At 37.1% G+C, this 19670-nt stretch overlaps 1 protein-coding gene across 8 annotated transcripts in view; it reads right to left on the bottom strand.

The window, feature by feature from the left end:
* Window positions 1-19670, bottom strand: part of GPALPP1 (GPALPP motifs containing 1) — a 48132-nt gene that overhangs the window by 10229 nt on the left and 18233 nt on the right. For 4 of the 8 annotated variants that reach the window (XM_047430436.1, XM_005266444.4, NM_018559.5 and 1 more), the window contains exons 4-7: window positions 18562-18646; window positions 12358-12489; window positions 11845-12009; window positions 7013-7111 (exon numbers count right to left, since the gene is read on the bottom strand). In XM_047430436.1, coding sequence (XP_047286392.1) covers window positions 7013-7111; window positions 11845-12009; window positions 12358-12489; window positions 18562-18646 — 481 coding nt within the window. Of the gene's footprint in view, window positions 1-7012; window positions 7112-11843; window positions 12010-12357; window positions 12510-18440; window positions 18647-19670 lie in introns of those variants that run through there. The other 4 variants (NM_001316952.2, XM_011535144.3, XM_047430437.1 and 1 more) reach the window with 3 other exon arrangements.

Genomic DNA, 19670 nt, shown 5'->3' with positions numbered 1-19670 from the left:
AAGAAAAGTAGTAAGAACACGGATGTGGCAAAATTCAAGGCCTGTGCAGCATATGTTGGCATGTTCCATAAGCTAAGATAATTTTTGTTCCTTTCAGTTTTCTGTCGTTCTCTTTTTCCCTTAATTCCCTCAATTTTTTTTCTTCTTAGCTAGGGTAGGTGTTCACATTTTCAGATGTATCTAGTAAGACAAAGTCTGAGCAAAAACAATTGATTTAATAAACTAGGGATTGACTACAGACCACTGAGTATTGACTAAGGTAAAGGATAGAACAGTCCTGGATGGAAGGAGCAGGGAGGGAGATGGAAAAGGAGATGCAGGTAGTACAGACCAGCAGCCTTCAATCTGGGGTATACGTATCCCTGGGTGCTACAGAGAGTAGAGTCTATGGAGTATGAAGGCATGGGTAATTTTAAGGCTATTTTTCCATGATTCTCTACTTCTTCATGTAGTCTTTCTTACAATTGATTTGGCCTAGACTACCTCTTGTGAAGATGCCATCCCTTTCATTATAGCCCTTTCTCATTTAACAAAGGAGGCTATAGAATATTGTTTAGGAAAGCAAAAGTCTTCAGGGTATGAGACAAAAAACCTAAAATACCGGTATGATTGAAACTTCCTTTAATCAAGAAACTGTAAACACAGGAGGGTTCTGTGTCCTTCTGTGTCTGAAACACATTTCTCCTAAGAGTGTAGTGTCCTTTAGAAATGGGTATTTTACCTTTTATTGAAATGTTCTGAATTCAGATATATTGAAGAGTGGGTAATGGAAGAAAAGACAATTTTTGCTTAACAACCATACCTCTTCCAGGCCCTTCCTACTGCCAAAGAATGTACTTGAGGGGGAAGGAGTGAAGAAACCTCAGTGAAAGCAAAATAACAAGGCACTAGTAAAAAATGCTGAAAGTGACAGTATCTTATTTTATCTAGAAGGTAAAATGGCACCTAGATCAGAATTCAGAGTGTCATATGAATGGTCATTAACACATTTATTTGAATGGAAAAAGTGAATCAGAAAGTAAGTCTGGTCTGGCTGATCTGACAACCAGAAATGACTTTGTCAATTAGATTATGTGACAGCCATGTCTCATAAATTAACTGAACTCAATCTGGAGCCATAACGTTTTAGCAGAATGTACAAAAGATACATTAGTAAATATGTATTTAAATTGACACTATTCACATTTTCCTATTTCTGCTCAATATACTGGGTTAAGCAAAGTACTTCTTAAGTATTTTATAAATATTGATAAAGTCTTTAGAAACAAACTGATTAGCAAATCAAGTGCTTTCCAATTCTTTATGTTCAACAAAATTGAAGGAGATAAAAAAAAAATCATCAAATATTGCTAAGAAAAAATAGGTAATCAAGGCTGGGCGCAGTGGCTCACGCCTGTAATCCCAGCACTTTGGGAGGCTGAGGTGGGTGGATCACCTGAGGTCGGGAGTTCGAGACCAGCCTGACCAACATGGAGAAACCCCGTCTCTACTAAAAATACAAAATTAGCCAGGCATGGTGGCGAATGCCTGTAAACCTAGCTACTTGGAGGCTGAGGCAGGAGAATCGCCTGAACCCAGGAGGTGGAGGTTGCGGTAAGCCAAGATCATGCCATTGCACACCAGCCTGGGCAACAAGAGCAAAACTCTGTCTTAAAAAAAAAAAAAAATAGATAATCAATACACGGAGCATGGAGAAATAAAACTTAAGTTCCAAATTCAGAAAAATCTGCATTGCAATGATGGTCCTGCTGCTTTCAACACTGGTAACAATGGGCAAGTAATTTAAGTCTCATTTTCCCAGCTGTAAAATGGTAGTAGTCATAATAATAATTTCTAAATTTTTGAGGGAGGGAGGGAGGAGTTAAATGATCTAATGAATACACAGGATTTAGTACAGTGTTGGCTATATAAGAAACAATAAATAAATGCTAAATGTTAGATATATTGAGCATTTACTATATCCTCACAACATCTCTGTAAATTAAATGTTGTTATTCTCATTATACAGACTTGGAAAGATCTTATTTCCAAGAAAACTTATTAATAAGATCAATGTGGAAAAAAAATCAAAGGAGATCCTAATGACTTGACAGTTAAGAGGCTATTAATAATACTTTTTGTAAACAGATCAATATGAGGTTTAAGAGAATAACTCAAATTGTTCAAAGAACTGAATGACATCGCTATAACAAAATGGGTTCATTCTCATTTACTTCTTCATAAAAACCTGGTTTCTTAACTCTTAGAAGTATAAAAAAACACAATTGATGGTAAAATCTGTCTTAATTTTTTTTGTTTCTATTTTTATTTCAATAGCTTTAGGGGTACAAGTGGTTTTTGGTTACATGGATGAATTGTACAGTGGTGAAGTCTGAAGTTTCAGTGTACCAGTCAACCAAGTAGTACACATTGTATGAAACCTGTCTTATTCTTGCAATAAGTAACATTCATCCAAAGACCAGGAACTAACTAGAAAAAAAGTCTTTCACTAAAAGAGTAAATTAAATTTACATTTTACTTTTTTACAGAGTCTTGCTCTGTCACCAGGCTGGAGGGCAATGGCGGGGTCTCGGCTCACTGCAAGCCTCCTGAGTTCAAGTGATTCCTGCCTCAGCCTCCTGAGTAGCTGGGATTACAGGTGCCCGCCACCACGCTCAGCTAATTTTTGTATTTTTAGTATAGAGGGGGGTTTCACCATGTTGGCCAGGCTGGTCTTGAACTCCTGACCTCACGATCTGCCTGCCTCGGCCTCCCAAAGTGCTGGGATTACAGGCATAAGCCACTATGCCTGGCCCTTATGATAAAAATTTTAGATGTCAAATTTAAAAATACACAGTTTTAGGGCCAGGTGCCGTGGCTCACACCTGTAATCCCAGCACTTTGGAAGGCCAAGGTGGGCAGATGACCTGAGGTCAGGAGTTCAAGACCAGCCTGGCTAACACAGTGAAACCCCATCTCTACTAGAAATACAAAAATTAGCTAGTATGGTGGCATGTGCCTGTAGTCCCAGCTATTCGGGAGTCTGAGGTAGGAGAATCACTTAAACCCAGGAGGTGGAGACTGCAGTAAGCCGAGATCGCGCCACTGCACTCCAGCCTGGGCAATGGAGCAGAGCGAGACTCAGTCTCAAAACACACACACACACACACACACACACACACACACACACACACACACAGAGTTTTAGGGGATACCAAGCAAAAACACTTGAAGATTGAGACTCAGTCTCAAAACACACACACACACACACACACACACACACACACACACACACACACACACACACACACACAGAGTTTTAGGGGATACCAAGCAAAAACACTTGAAGATTGCTGGTCTCCAGCACTGATGGGTTGAAAAGAAATATAGATTGCCTGTCCTATCATAAATTTAGTGAATCAAAACTGCCAACTGTGGGTCTCAGAAACCTTGCTTTTACCACCCAAGTTCTGACAGAGGTGATCCACGGGATGTGGAACCTACTTGTGGATCATTCTTTCTAGTAGTTTGGTATTAATAGGAGACAGGATGCCAATACAAAGGAGTGTAGTAAGGTGAATTTTAGGATGGAAAACCATATATGTAGCATTATATGTATGTATAAATGTAAAAAAGCTACACTATCAAAACTTGATCTTTTAGCTCCATTTCTCCATATTTCTCCTCCCTTCCCTTGCTTTCACATCTTTCCTTGCTAGTGAGATAATAAGTCCTTAGTGAGGTAGTAATGATGAAGGTTGACAGGCTAACAAGAGTTGGAAGCGGAAGGCCTAAATATATAACAAAGACCTGGAGAAAATAGAGAACAAAGTTTCAGCAGATGTGTGGAGATGTGAGAAAGAATGGAGTTGTAGGGATCTTACTACTTTACCTAAAGCCACTACTGAGGAAAATGATTTATAATGATGAGCAAAATTGTATGTAAGGTAACAAAAAGCAAACAAAAATGGAGAAATAAAGATGTCAGGTTTCAATGTACTGATTCCTTATATTAGTAAATTGAACATCAATAGAGACAGAGGAATACATTAAATCACTGGACTATTATTATACAATCAATCCAAACAATTCAAGTGCTCAAATTCATGATGATAAAAGAAATAAACTTTTATATCAGTTGTTTCAGGTGTACTACTGTTGGTCTGATTTAGGATAATTTGCATATTGTGACACACAGGACCAAACTAGTGCTAAAATATAATAAAATAATAAATAACACCTAAAAGCAGTCAACTCACTGAAAATCAAAAGCTGAAAGCCAGCTGATGTAAGAGATTAATCTGCTAAATGACTAATTTGCTGACTTACCACATTTAATCATTTAACACAAATGTTTGCATTTTCTAACAATATACAATATTTAGAGCATTTTTTATTTATTAAAAAAAAGTTTTTTAGAGACAGGTCTTGCTCTGTGTAGACCCTGCACTGGAGTGCAGTGGTGTGGTCATAGCTCACTGTAACCTCAAACTCCTAGGCTCAAGTGATCCTCCAACCTCAGCCTCCCAAGTAGCTGGGACCTTGAGTGTGTGCCACCAGACCTGGCTAATTTTTCACCTTTTTATTTTGGTAGAGATGGGGTCTTGCTATACTACCCAGGCTGGTCTCTATCTCTTGGCCTCAGAAGATCCTCCCGTCTCAGTCTCCCCCAAAGTGCTGGGATTACATGTGTGAGCCACCATGGTTGGCCAAGAGCAATTAATTTTTGAATAAGATGGGTTTGTAACAGCTTTTGAAAACTAATGTCAAACTTCTACTTGATTGGTTTTTGTCTTCATTAAAGTATTTTAAAGACTGCTCGACTTATCAAAAGCTAAGGTTTCTAGAGTGGCTTAGTCTTAAGACTATATTAATACTTTGAATAGAAAGTATCTGGAATTTCAGCTTTCAGGCTTCAGATTAGAACCCTAATTTTTTGGATGCATTTTAAAGTAAACTGTAAACATCACTACATGTCCCCCTAAATACCTAAGCATGCATTTGAGTTCAATATTTGTTTTTTTATATATATATTTAAGATAAATATACATATGATAAAATGCATAAATATTAAGTGTATATTCAATGAGTTTTATAGTTCAAACTCCAATCAAAATCTGGAACCTTTCTATCACTTCAGGCATATGCTGTTTCCTAGTCAAATTCCATACCCCTATTCCGACTATCAGCATTGATTTTTTTCCCACCATAGATGCATTTTGCTTATTGTACAGCTCTATATAAACATAATAAGAAGTATGTACTTGCTTGTGTAAGATTTCTTTCACTCAGTATGACTTTTGAGATTCATCCATGTTGTATTTATTTGTAATGTGTTCCTTTTTATTGGTGAGTAGTTTCATTTATACCACAGTTTGGTTTTCTTGCTCTTACTGATCAACATTTGAGCTGCTTACAGTATTTAACTATTATGAATAAAGCATCTATGAACATTCTTGGATAAGTTTTTTTGAGGCTATTAAGAATAACATGTTCAACTCTTTGTGTGGATATGTTTTCATTTGTCTTAGGTAAATACCCAGGAGGAAAATAGCAGGGTACATGTCTGTTTAGTTTGATAAGAAATGCCAGTTTGGAAAAAGGCTTAGCTTATTTATCTTTAGCCATTGGTCTTTTCTTACATAACTCATTATGGCTCTAAATTTTCCCTCTAAATACCGCTTCATATGGCATCCCACACATTGTGATATGTTGTATTTTTGTCATTCAGGTCTACATTTTTCTAACTTCCATTATCATTTTTTCTTTGATGCAAAGTTTAAATTTTGAGTTTTTCTGATTTCCAGGTTTTTTTTTTTTTATGTTTTTTTTGAGACAAGGTCTCACTCTGCCATCCAGATTGGAGTGCAGTGGCACAGCCATAGCTTGACTCAACCTATCTGTCCGCCTCAGCATTCCAAAGTGCTGGGATTATAGACATGAGCCACTACATCTGGCCATAGTGGGTTTTTAAGTTATTCTGAATCCAAACTTCAATTCTTTGTGGTCAGATAATTTGGGTTGAATGATAGTAATTCCTTCGATTTTGTTGATATTTGACTTCTGAGCTGGTCAGTTTTCATAAATACTTCAAGTGGCTACGTTTTTGGTCAATTTCCCAAAATGTTTTAAGCATGCTTCACTGTGGTACTGGTCAACATATATAAATCAAGCTAACTATATTTTAGAGCTTATGGAATTTTCTTTAATACACTGGGAACAGAAAATAATTTTCCTAAACACCTTTCAGGGACCAATGGGTTCAGTAATTTACATTTATTCTTTGAGCGGGGACATTTATCATTTTTTCTTTTTGTGCAGGCACCATCCAACATTTGCCATTTTTTTAAAAGACAGAAGATAACAAAATAATATGCCAAATGAATACTGACTGTTTAGTTTATAAATTTAGATTGGACTACATTCAAAAAACATTTTTTCTCCCATATTTAAATATTTACATCCAACATTCCAAATCTGTTTATAATGTAAACATTTATAAATGGAAGATCTCCATGAGTGAGTAGGGGTCTTGCTTTCTCTCATCAAGTGCTACCTATCTCTAATAATTAGATTTCTGCTAATTTAATACGTAAAATGTGAATTGGAAATATTCATGAAAAACACAGAAGAATTTTATTAAAACAAAAATATATGCAACATAGTGTATTTCAGGATAGATGTATAAAAAGTGCATGGTAAAGAGGCAGACATATAAAAGAAAGAGAAATAAGTAAAAGAGAAAAAAATAAACAGATAACTAAAAGATAGGGGAAAAAAGGCTATATATTTTGCTTCTGGCTTCCTTTTTTTTTTTTTTTGAGACATTAGGCAGGGAGGCCTTCAAGTGATCCTCCCAACTCAGTTGGCTAATTTAAAAAAATTGTTTTTAGAAACAAGGTCTTGCTATGTTGCCCAAGCTGGCCTTGAACTCTTCGTCTCAAGTGATCCTCCTGCCTCAGCCTCCCAAGTAGCTGGGATTATAGGCAAGAGCCATCACACCTGGCTCTATATATCTTATTTTCTTACTTACATTGTATGAAGATACCTGCTCAGCCAGTCTCTTATCTCTTCCTGATAATATATGTTCTTCATCTTTCTTACTGGATGACTTCCTTGCTTCTTGTGTTTCCTGAGGAATGAACACAGATAACACATTACTGAATCATAAGATTAAGATAAAACAAAAAATAAATATTATTTTTACTTAGATTAAGTAACAAGAGACACAACTAAGCCAGGTTTGTGAAATCCCTTCTGATCAGAAATATTAACATACTTTGCCGGGCATAGTGACTCACGCCTGTAATCCTAGCACTTTGGGAGGCCAAGGCGGGTGAATCACCTGAGGTGACGAGTTCGAGACCAGCCTGGGCAACATGGTGAAACCTCATCTCTACTAAAAATATAAAAGCTGGGCATGGTGGCGGGTGCCTGTAATCCCAGCTACTGGGGAGGCTAAGGCAGGAGAATCGCTTGAATCTGGGAGGCAGAGGTTGCAGTGAGCCGAAATCGTTCCACTGCACCCCAGCCTGGGAGACAGAGTGAGACTCGGTCTCAAAAAAAAAAAAAAAAAAAAAAATCAAAATATTAACATACTTGATAAGAGATCAGTTACTGCTCTAGTCTGTGATTTTCTTGAAAACAAGGAAAAAAAAACCCACTCCACTCAATCAACCTATTTATTGAACTCAGGATGAGTTTGACTTAACAGTGGTGAGATGTAGAAGTGAAAATAAGGCTTAAAAAGATATCCTACATTACTGTTTTCAAAAATAATAAAATCACCCTGGAGGGGGAAAAAAAAACAAAGAAAAGGAAATAAAAGGTGTACATTTTGAGAAAAAAAAAAAAAAAGAAAAATTGTGTTTATTCACAGATCCTAGCACTGTGTAGCAAACTGTGAACTGCGTAGCAAACTCCAAAGAATTTACTAAAAAAACTCCTGGAACTACTAAGCAAGTATAGCAAAGTTGCAGGATACAAGATCAATATACAAAATATAGCAGCAAGAGGCCGGGCGTGGTAGCTCACGCCTGCAATCCTAGCACTTTGGGAGGCAGAGGCAGGCAGATTGCCTGAGCTCAGGAGTTCGAGACCACCCTGGGCAACATGGTGAAACCCTGTCTCTACTAAAATACAAAAAATTAGCTGGGCGTGGTGGCGAGTGTCTGTGGTCCCAGCTATTCAGGAGGCTGAGGCACAAGAATTGCTTGAACCTGGAAGGCAAAGGTTGCATTGAACTGAGATGGTGCCACTGCACTCCAGCCTGGGCAACAGAGCAAGCTTCTGTCTCAAAAAATATATATATACATATATATAAATATATACATAGAAATATATATACATATAAATATATATAAATATATATACATATATTTATATGTATATATTTATATGTATATATTTATATTTATATATTTCTATGTATATATTTATATGTGTATATATATTTATATGTATATATATTTATATGTATATATATTTATATGTATATATATTTATATGTATATATATTTATATGTATATATTTATACATTTATATGTATATATTTATATGTATATATATTTATATATATCAGCAAGAAACAACTGGAATTTGAAACAAAACTATCATTTATATTAGCACACACACATGAAGTGCCTAGTCTAACACATTTTAATTCAAAAAAATGTTACAGGAATATTCTAGAGCATATGCTCCCAAATTGGAATGGGGAAGGCCCATATAAAAACTACTGAAAACCACTGGTCTCTAAGCATATTCTTATATTGTTTTTATTTGCTTAGGAGGCCTCATGGACTAAAACAACACTGTATTTAATAAAGTAAGTTAAAAACATAGAAATAGCTCATTTCTACATTTTCCCAGAAAATAGATGTTTTACTTATAAAAAAAGAAAAGTGATGTTATGGTACAATGGAGATAAAAACCTAACCATTTAATATTAAGAGGTAGTAGATATCGTCAAGACTGGAAAGTGAGGACTTAACTGATCTCATTCAATTAATGTATGTAAAACATTTTCATTACTTTCTAAAGAGCAATCTTTTTTTTTTTTTTTTAGACAGAGTCTCGCTCTGTTACCCAGGCTGGAGTGCAGTGGCACAATCTCGGCTCACTGCAAGCTCTGCCTCCTGGGTTCACGCCATTCTCCTGTCTCAGCCTCCCGAGTAGCTGCGACTACAGGCGCCCGCCACCACGCCTGGCTAATTTTTTGTATTTTTAGTAGAGACAGGGTTTCACCATGTTAGCCAGGATGGTCTTGATCTCCTGACCTTGTGATCCGCCCACCTCAGCCTCCCAAAGTGTTAGGATTACAGGCGTGAGCCACCACGCCCAGACAACAGCAATCTTCTTTTAGGCCATATTGGCTAAATTAATGTGAGAACAGTAGAGGTATGAGAGGTATGCTGGAAAATCAAATATAAGAAGTAGGATGGAATGGAGGGAACCTATCAAGAAGGAAATATGGCTAAGATCTGTTATAAAAATTAGTCATGAACTTTACACGGGATCAAAGACAACAGAAAATGAATAGCTCTGTGATACTATATAGTTTGTGACATAAATATATGTCTGTGGTACTATATTCTGTAATGTAGTATTATATAAAATTTAAGACTTATTAATCCCTTTATGAGTCCACTGCAAATACTAAACAAAACATTTCAGCACAGAAAAGAATGACCAGGTCTAAAGAACTCAGTCATAGGGATTAAAATCTCTTAAGTTCAAACAATATAGCCTGGTTTCCATATGTTCCATTATTCCATGATATTTTCCTCCAAGGAAGACTCCCTACATATCTGGCTGTAAGCTAGACATCTATTCATCTCCAATGAGAAACAGGATATAAAAAAGAACAAATAAATATGGACACAAATAAAAAGGCATGTAAGCAAGGGAATTAATTGTCTTTTTGGAGACAATCTTAAAGGCCAAATTATAAAAACTCCAATAAATAATTATTATTTCAAAACCAGCTAAGAAATAATAGGCATTCCAACACCACCCTTTCAAGGTTTTTGTGGCTCTCTTGGATCCACATCCTTTGCTGCCTCTCCTGCCCCTATATGTGTTGGTTCACCTCACCTTCCTATTATAACTCTCAGATTCTCTTTAATCTTAGGACAAAAAAGAAATTATGTATAATGTTGCCCAATATGCAGGCAGAGTGCTCAAGTGTGGAGACTGAAACATGCCCTCCACACTTTAAGGGTACCACTGTTTATTTCACAGGCAATTATCCACTAAAATGGAAAGTCCTTAAGGAGCTCTTGACTCTTTCTATCACCTGAAACCAAATACAATTCCTGACAAAACAGGAAAATTGATCATTACAGATTGAAAACAGAAATCCTGACAATTCTAGGTACTGATGAGTAATACAAACAGAGCTAGTGGAATGAACTAAGTGTGGAACTGCTTTAGTCAGAACTGATGAATTTATAATCATAAGGTGACAATTAGTCAAGCATTTGAGAATTGAATGGGATGTCTTACAGAAATTAAAACCTTTAGAGAGAGGCTGCGCACAGCGGCTCACGCCTGTAATCCCAGCACTTTGGGAGGATTGCTTGAGCCCAGGAGTTTGAGACTAGCCTGAACAACATAGCAAGGCCTTGTCTTTACAAAAATAAAAAATAAAAAAAATTAGTTGTGTGCCTGTAGTCTCAGCTCCTCAGGAGGCTGAGGCAGGAGGATCACCTGAGCCCAAGAGGGTTGATCCTTTGAGACTGCAGTGAGCTGTGATTGCACCACTGCAGTCCAACCTGGGTGACAGAGAGACCTTGTCTCTTAAAAAACAAACAACCAAACAAAAAAACCAAAAAGAAAAAACCAAAACCCACAGATGGATTAAATTGAAGGAGTAGTACTGGGGATACTGGTTTAATTCCTAATATACAATGAAATATTTTGTAATAAACAGAAAAAGATTCAAGAACAGAAGATTAAAAATAATGTATTTTATGCATACAGATTTTTGTTTTTTTGTTTTTTTTTGAGATGGAGTCTCGCTCTGTTGCCCAGGCTGGAGTGCAGCGGCGCAATCTTGGCTCACTGCAACCTCTGCCTCCCGGGTTTGAGTGATTCTCCTGCCTCAGCTTTCCAAGTAGCTGGGATTATAGGCACATGCCACCGCGCCTGGCTAATTTTTTTATTTTTAGTAGAGACAGGGTTTCACCATGTTGGCCAGGCTGGTCTCGAACTCCTGACTTCAGGTGATCCGCCCTGCCTTGGCCTTGGAAAGTGCTGGGATTACAGGCATGAGCCACTGCGGCCGGCTGGTATTTTTTGGATAACTTACTGTATTAATGACAGTGGTTCTTGTCTATCTTGACAGTAACATGAAGCTTAGTGCACCTGAGATATGGTCATTTTGAGAGAAATTCTCTAGGCACCATTTAATTTGCTAGGTTAATCTGCAGCTTTGTTTTTTTTTTCTAAAATATTTTAAAAGATATATGTTCATAAAGATAGTATGGTGTAAAAAGACCAGGGAATCTGGAGCTAGAAAGGTCTAAAATGAAATTATTTTTCATCACTTACTAGCTTTGTGACCCTAGAAACGTTGACCTCATAGAGGATAGTTTCTCCATCTATAAAATAAGGCCATTATACCTATGTCTCAGAGTTTTCTTGAGGTTTAAATGAGACCGTTTATTGGGAAATAGTAAGTAAACAGCAAGCAATTGGTGTCACTTTCCTTCCTCATACTCTTCCTCCAGAGGAAAATCCGCATTATCCTTTTGGAATCATAATTTTAAAAAATAGTACCCTTAAATAATTTTGCATTATATCTTTTCAAAATCCAGCCAACATGAACAGAAATACATGAACAAACAAACAAAACCTCTCACCTTAGCTTTCCTTTCCCTATCAGCTGGAGTATCTGTCCAGATTGATCGATCTCCAGATGTGTCATCAGCTCTTCTCTTAAAAGTCCTTGGCCCAAGACCAAAGTCTTTCATTTCTGGAGGAAGTTCAGTCATCCATGACTCTCTTACAATGGGTTTAGATGAATCCTTTAAGAGAAAAAAAAAACACAGCATAGAAAGTACATATCGTGTATAAGATGAGTACATATATATGTACAAGCAACTGTGTCATGCAATTGAAGTTTTAAAGTTACTTAACAAACTCTAATATAAAGGATCGATGTTTTTGTCACATATATTTGTCATATAAGTTACAAAGACGTTCATCCAATTTGTTATTTTTCTTTTAGAGTTTCTGGGTTCTAACTCCTAAATTTAAAAAAATGTTATGCATAAAAACAAAATATATTAAAAGTTATATAGTTTAGTGTTTATTTCTAAAATTTAGATTTTTAATCTATTTAGTGTATTTCTTAAAGTGTTTTTAAAACTTACATCATCTCCTTTGGTCAGTTTTTCTTTCATTCTCTGGGCCCTTTTTTCAAACTCTGTCGTTACATTATAGTTAACTGGTCCTTTTGCAGGCATTGGTCCAATAATATCCTCATCTTCACTGCTGTCTGTTTCCTTTTAAAACAAGACATTACCTTTAAACCAAGAGCAGAGCTACAGGTTATAAAAAATAATTCTAAATTACCTGCATTTAACTGAAACTTATTATCCATAAAAAATAAAAAAGTAAACAATGTATTGCTGGCTCATCACTGAACCATGAGGACTTTTTCCTCACCTTCCTCAAGTGCCTAGCACAGAGATGACAAATCCATGGCATGCAGACTCTCTCCCACCTCCCACCTCTCTTCCTGTGTCCATGACAGACCTCACTCTCTTCCTGAAGGACACAGATGTAGACTTAGAGCTCTTTTCAGCATAGTACAATAATTAGACAACTATATACTGTCTTGTGGCTTACTCTAATACACACACACACACAAACATACTCTTAATAACTATGGATTTTGTCATATACCTCATTTGATCCTTGTAACAAAACTGTAAAATGGCACTATTTCTGGTTTCTTTTTTTTTGGAGGAAACTTAGGCTTAGAGTGTAATAAAACTATTATCCAAGAATGAAACATTCCAAGATCAAGGCCAGTATATTTTTTCCATGTATACAACAGTGGCCTGTCTATTATTTTATCTCAACTGTTAGTGATTTAGCATTAAGTGTTTCTAGCTTATATCTACAATAGTAAGCTTTCTGATGTTACAGACATTATATTAAACATATTTATAACCCCCTACAGATATAAATATTTGGTGATGCAAAATGTTCAGATGTAAAAGCTATAATGAAATTTTAAAACTATGAGACATGAAAACAAAACAAAACACAAACTCTAAGAGTCATGGTACCAATACAGTATTAGTGGAATAAGCTAATGATCGTCTCACTTCCATCTTAATAAGAGATGGTTTAATAAAGGTAGAATTTCAGCATGTCCTGGTAGGATGATGCCTGCAATTTTTAGAAATAAGTATCACTTACGTTCAGGGGCAAACAAAAGCAGGGATGGAGAAGCAAACAGAAAATTAGGCCAAACACACTAAACTGAAAATCAGAAACAGAATATGCCCAATTCCTATCTATGGGTATTAAATTATTTTGGTGTCCTGGATGAGTTATTTCTTTTAATAAAAAAAATGGTGCACATTTTATCCAGAATTACAATAGAAATTAGGTACCTTACCAGTTTATACTTTGGGCTGACTTTGTTGAAGGCCTCATTTGCCATTGTACTAGCCCTGTGACTTCAGGCATGTTATTTAACCTTTCTAAGCCCTGATTTTCCTGTCTTTGGCATGGAAATTATAACAGCTTCTACCAATAACTACTCTATTGCCAAGAGAAGCCTGCATTTTCTTTATCCTCTTTAAAGCCACACCCTTCTTAGGGAACTGGGGCCTTCTCTAACACCTGGGGAAAAATATTGGTAATTCTAGTCCAGTCACTAAAAAAAAGTAGTAACTATTGTATGGACATGTTTACAAAATATTACAAAGTAGTCACTTTGGTCTTATTCTTCTTGCTCAGCTGACTGGTTTAGGCATGGACATGACACAATTTTTGTGAAATAAACACAAAAGGTCTGTAGGAAACTGGTAGAGATTTTCCTTTCTCTACAAAAGAGGCACAGGGAAAGGACCATTCCTCTTCTGTGTCTGGACACTGCCAGCTGCTTATAAGTCTTAGAACTTTGGCAGGCTTCTTGGTATGATGAAGGCAGTCAGCCTCAGTCTTAGAACTTTGGCAGGCTGCTTGGTATGATGAAGGCAGAATTAACATACTGTTAATTCTCTTATAGAGCAGGAAGGTGGAAAAACTGGAGCCTTTGATGATATCACGAGGCGAAGGAATTAATCAAGCCTGGGATGATCTTACCTCTTGACCTCTTATTATGTATGAAACATATTTTCCTTATTTTGAGAATACAGAACATACATCACCAAGTAAATTAACCCATTTGCTAACTAAGTAGGTTAAGATAAAGTTCCATTTTGAGTTGGATTTTCTGTTATTTGTAGCTGAAGGCATTCAGCTGATACACTACCTCCCTGGATTGTTGTTTGGATTAAGTTAAGTTTATGCTGCTGTTGCAGTGTCTGGCTTGTGGTAAGTGCTCAAGAAATGTCAACCATTAATATTATTGTGTATGTCTTAATTTGGGGGTATATGCCGGGAATGAGGCAAAGAAAAGCCCATCTTTGAGAAACGAAAATCTCAAAACTGAAAAAGAAAGGTCTTTTGAAAAAGGTTCAATTAAAGGGAAATTATAAGGCAAACAATCAGAGCAAGAACACCTCACATATGGACCTACAGTGTAATCTCTGTCCCAGCCTGACCCTCGCCTTCTACCAAAAGAAGCCAGGGAATGTAGAATGTGTACCACCAAGGAAACGATGTAAGCTACTCATTTGCTAACTAGGTAGGTTAGGACAAAATTCCAAGTGTGAATAATGCTGAATTGTGCTACTCCTTTGAAAATTTTTTTCCCCAATTTTTTATTTTGAAAAATTTTGAACCTATATAAAAGTGCTAAGATGAGTGCAATAAACACCAATATGTCATCACTCAGATTTACCAACTGAGTGGCACATTACATTTTAACACATTCATTTTTTTTGGTTTGTTTTCTGTCCCTCTCCCCACGAGATAGACAGACACACACTTTTTTTCAGAACCATTTGAAAGTAGGTTACAGATAGAATGACAAGGCTCTAGGCAGAAGCAAATTTCCTTGCCACCTTCCTAGGGACAGTGGGTTACATTTCTCTGGTCCTCTAGTCCCCTTGTCCTCCTTTTACAGACAGAGCAGAACTTTGAGGCTGCAGGTTTTATGCATGGTGCTCAATTCAATCTCCTCTGGCTGAGTGAGCCAGAAGCCAGGGCTCCTGTTCCCAGATTCTCTAGGGTTTATGACTGGGTTCTCTAAAACGACTGTAGTCCCCTGCTGTGTAAACCTGTGTCTGGCTTTGAATTCCCTCAATGTTGTTAGTATGTGTGAATTTTCCTTTCTTCCTTTTGAGCTTTGCTGTGTTTTAAAATGGTTGTTATTTTATTTCTTCCCCTAGCACTCCTTTGTGTTCATGGCAGGGAAAGCCTAGCCTGACGATGTCATCTCAGTCTTCCATATGGCTGGAAGTCCTTCCTCTGGTAATTTTTTCTTCAACGCCCTTGTTAGAAAGGAGTCCTCGTACTTAGCCTAAATTCTTCAGTTACACTCATGGCATCCATAGTGGAGGCAATAAGAACAATGGTAATAATGAGAGCTATTTGAAGTTGAATACTTGCTGATATGGTTTGGCTGTGTCCCCACCCAAATCTCATCTTGAATTGCAGTTCCCATAATCCCCACGTGTCGGAGGGACCAGGTGGAGATAATTCAATCATGGGGTGGTTTCCCCCATCCTGTTCTTGTGATAGTGAGTTTGTTCTCACAAGATCTGATGGTTTCATCAGGGGCTTCCCCCTTCGCTGGGCACTCAGTCTTCTCCTTGGTGCTGCCATGTGAAGATGGACGTGTTTGCTTCCCCTTCCACCGTGATTGTAGGTTTCCTGAGGCCTCCCCAGCCATGCTAAACTGTGAGTCAATTAAACCTCTTTCCTTATAAATTACGCAATCTTGGGTATGTCTTTATTAGCAGTGTGAAAATGGACTAATACAACTACTATTCTGATTTAATCCTTATAACAACCCTATGAAGTAAGTGTAATGACCTGCATGTTACTGATCATGAAGCTAAGCGTACCCAAGCTAGGCTCAACGCAAAGCTTTGAACAGCTCTTACCTACTTTCCTCACCTTCTCTCTCACCATTCTCCCTGCATTCTCCATTCTAACCATATTGAACTTCTTTAACCCTAACTTTCATCCTCTCCACACTCTCTTTTGCCTTCAAATAAACCATCTGCTCTCTCTGGAACAATGTTCCTTGCCTTCTTTGCTGAACTAGCTCCAATTCATCAAACTTCAGGTTAGTAGACATTCACTCAGATAAGAAGACCTTTTCTTTTTTTTTCTTTTTTCTTTTTGAGACAGGGTCTCGCTCTGTCACCCAGGCTGGAGTGCAGTGGCATGATCTCAGCTCACTGCAACCTCCACCTCCTGGGCTCAAGCCATCCTCCACCTCAGCTCCCAGGTAGCTGGCACCACAGGCATGTGCCACCATGCCTAGCTATTTTTTTGTATTTTTGGTAGAGATGCGGTTTTGCTATGTTGCCCTGGGTGGTCTTGAACTCCTGAGCTCAAGCAACCCACCCGCCTTGGCCTCCCAAAGTGTGGGATTACAGGCATGAACCACTGCGCCTGGCTGAAAAAGACTTTTTCTCATTTTCAGATTACATTCCCCCATCATGGTTCCATTTATATTTTGTCTCATCTTTTGAATAATTGACAATGTTAGAAACTGATGTATGTATTCCCCACTACCTTGTAAGTGTGATGAGGGCAGGCACTGTGTTTGATTCATTCATTCATTCGACAAATACTTCTGAATATCTACTATGTATAAGGCACTGGTGATAAGATAAAAAAAATCTCTGTTATTATGGAGCCACATTCTAGCGGAAAGAGGTCAACAATAAACAAAAAGAAGCAGTAAAATTAATAGTATCTTCGGTGGTAATAAATACTATGGGGAAAATTAAAGAAGGGAAGAGGAGGTTAGCATATTTTAATTTGGAGGCCAGAGATGACTGTATTGGAAAGATAATATTCCAGCAAAAAAACTGAAGGTCTAGGAGGCCAGCCACATAGATATGTAGGAGAAGACCATTTTGCATAGGCTTGGACAGCAGGCATAAAGGCTCAGGAGTAGGAAGTGGCCTGCTGTATTTGAGGAGGAACAGCAAGGAGCCCAGTGTGGTCACATCAAAGCAAAAGATAAAATCAGAGTGCTAATAGAGGCCAGACTGTATAGGGCCCTAAAAGGACTTTGGTTTTGACTTAGGGAGAGGAGGAGTAATTTGGTGGTTTTGAGTGTTAGTGACATGATCTGACTTTGATCTGCCTTTGTTTCATCTGGACCCCTTCAGCTGTTGTGTTGAGAAGGGGTAATAGAGGAGAAAGGGCTACATAAAGCATGAAAATCAATAAAAGGGGTGAAATTTGATGGTTATTTGGACCAGGGTGGGAGCAGAAGTGGCTGAGTCCTGGATGTCTTATGAAGATAGGAACAAAATAATTTGTTGACAGATTCATTTCTGTGACTATGTGCCTGCCACACTGTGGGTGTTCTATGAGCATTTGTTGAAAGAATAAGTAAATGACTCTGAAATTCATAATTTTAACCACTGCATTATACATCCTTTGAGTAACAACCTCAGTGTAACTGTTGAATTCTTAGTGGAGATAAACAGGAGTCTCTGGAATATATGAATTCATACATAGGAAGGCACTGCAGTATAACAGATTGAACAAGTGATTTAAAGTCATAAGAACTGGGTTTGTGCCATGGCTTTGATCAGTAAAAATTGTGTAATCTTGGGTAAGGTACCCAATTTTTTTGGTCTTTAGCATTTGTAAGGTGCAGATAATATCTATTTCATGAAACCGTGGAGAAGATAAAATAAGGTCCACATACAGGGAAAATGCATTACAAATTGTAAAGTACTCTACAAATCTCAACTCTTGTTAAGGAGAAAAACAGCCTTTATACTTTACTCCAAAGTCATTTGGTCTATCTTTTCCTAAAATCACTTATCCACCAGTGCATTTTTTTATACACAGATACTAAAGCTTAGTTAGGAGAAAGTAAATTTCAAGGTAAAGACCATTGTTAAAAAGCTCTTCAACCTTCTCTCCTAAAGGCCAAATCACAATCATTCCTTAAACTTTTCTTCATGTTCCATCCTTCTAACACCTTAAAGTCCCCCTTCAAAGATAAGAAGTATGAATAGGTAACACCCCGTCAATCCTGTTATTTTCCTAACAGAATCTCAGGTTTGTGAACAGCTTTTTATTTCATCTACTTATGTTACAATCTTAAATTAATCTGAATATAACTGAGTCTTACATTACAGTTGAGTCCAGTGGTTGTAGTAACTGCATGCATAAAGTTTGGAGTTTGTTACAATACATCTTATTCTTTCAATGAAAACTTTCCAAACCTTAGAGTTGAAATGGGATGATGATACCTGTTGTCCTGGATCATCTCTGCCCTTGTCACTTTTCTGTGTAGATTTAATGAAACCAGGTGGCAATGCAGGACCTATTATGGGCCTGAAAAATAAAATGTACTTTTATCATTCTCCCTGACTTTAAAAAGCAGTTATAAGAATAAAAGTTCACAAAAATAATAAAGCCAAATAGTGACAAATGTTGAAAATAAGAATTTTATTTAACACTTTATTTTTACTAGTATTACCTAGTATCTTTCTGCTAGACGTCTTTTAAAAACCTAATTTTCACATTTGACTTTTCTACTTGTTAGTCAATAATTAGAGACTAAGCCAATAATTCTCAATCTTTGTGACACTGGCATATGCACACTTCCTAAAAAGAACTATATTAAATAAAAATGGCAATGTTTTAAAAAAATTGATGTACTAAAATCTGTGATGGTCTTTTTTTATTTTGTGCCTTGGCTTTCCTTCAGTTTTGAGATTCATTATCCCGTGAAAGATACCTTAGGGGCATTATAATTATGGTCAGAACTACCAAAGTAGAAATTGAGTTCTTCTAAGGACATATATAGCATGTGCAGACAATGCCAGCAATCTGTGGTCTATATAACATGGCAGTATTAAAAATCTATACATTGTCCTCAGTAATGATGTGGAACTGTAGAAGAATGCAGCTAGTTCATTAAGACCCACAGAAAGGGAAAAGGGTACCGTGCTAACCATATTTCAAGCAGTGCATCTGTTTCCTTAAAACAATCCTGGTCAGTGTAAGTCACTCCACTTTTAAGATGAGCAAAATCATGTCCAAGATTAACACAATTAGTAAGTGGCTGAGCTAGAGTTTAAACCCTGGTCTACTTGATGTCAAAGTGCATTTTCTTTCCAGCTGCCCTACTGCCAAATAATGAGGCAACTGTCATCACTTCAAAAGAGAGACTTGCCTTAACACTGGGTCTTAAAAGGAGACAGCCTTACTTTATGAAGGAAAAAATTAAAAAGATAAAAATAAAAAATAAAAAAATGCTCTCTTTCACACTTTTAAGATTCTTCATCCTTGCTTTTGTACAAATGTTTTTTCCATAGTTGTCACTGTGCCAGTGTTACCAACCCAGATGGCACTG

This window comes from Homo sapiens, chromosome 13, assembly GCF_000001405.40.
Source record: "Homo sapiens chromosome 13, GRCh38.p14 Primary Assembly".
Lineage (NCBI taxonomy): Eukaryota > Metazoa > Chordata > Mammalia > Primates > Hominidae > Homo > Homo sapiens.
This window is presented reverse-complemented; position numbering and strand designations above follow the sequence as displayed.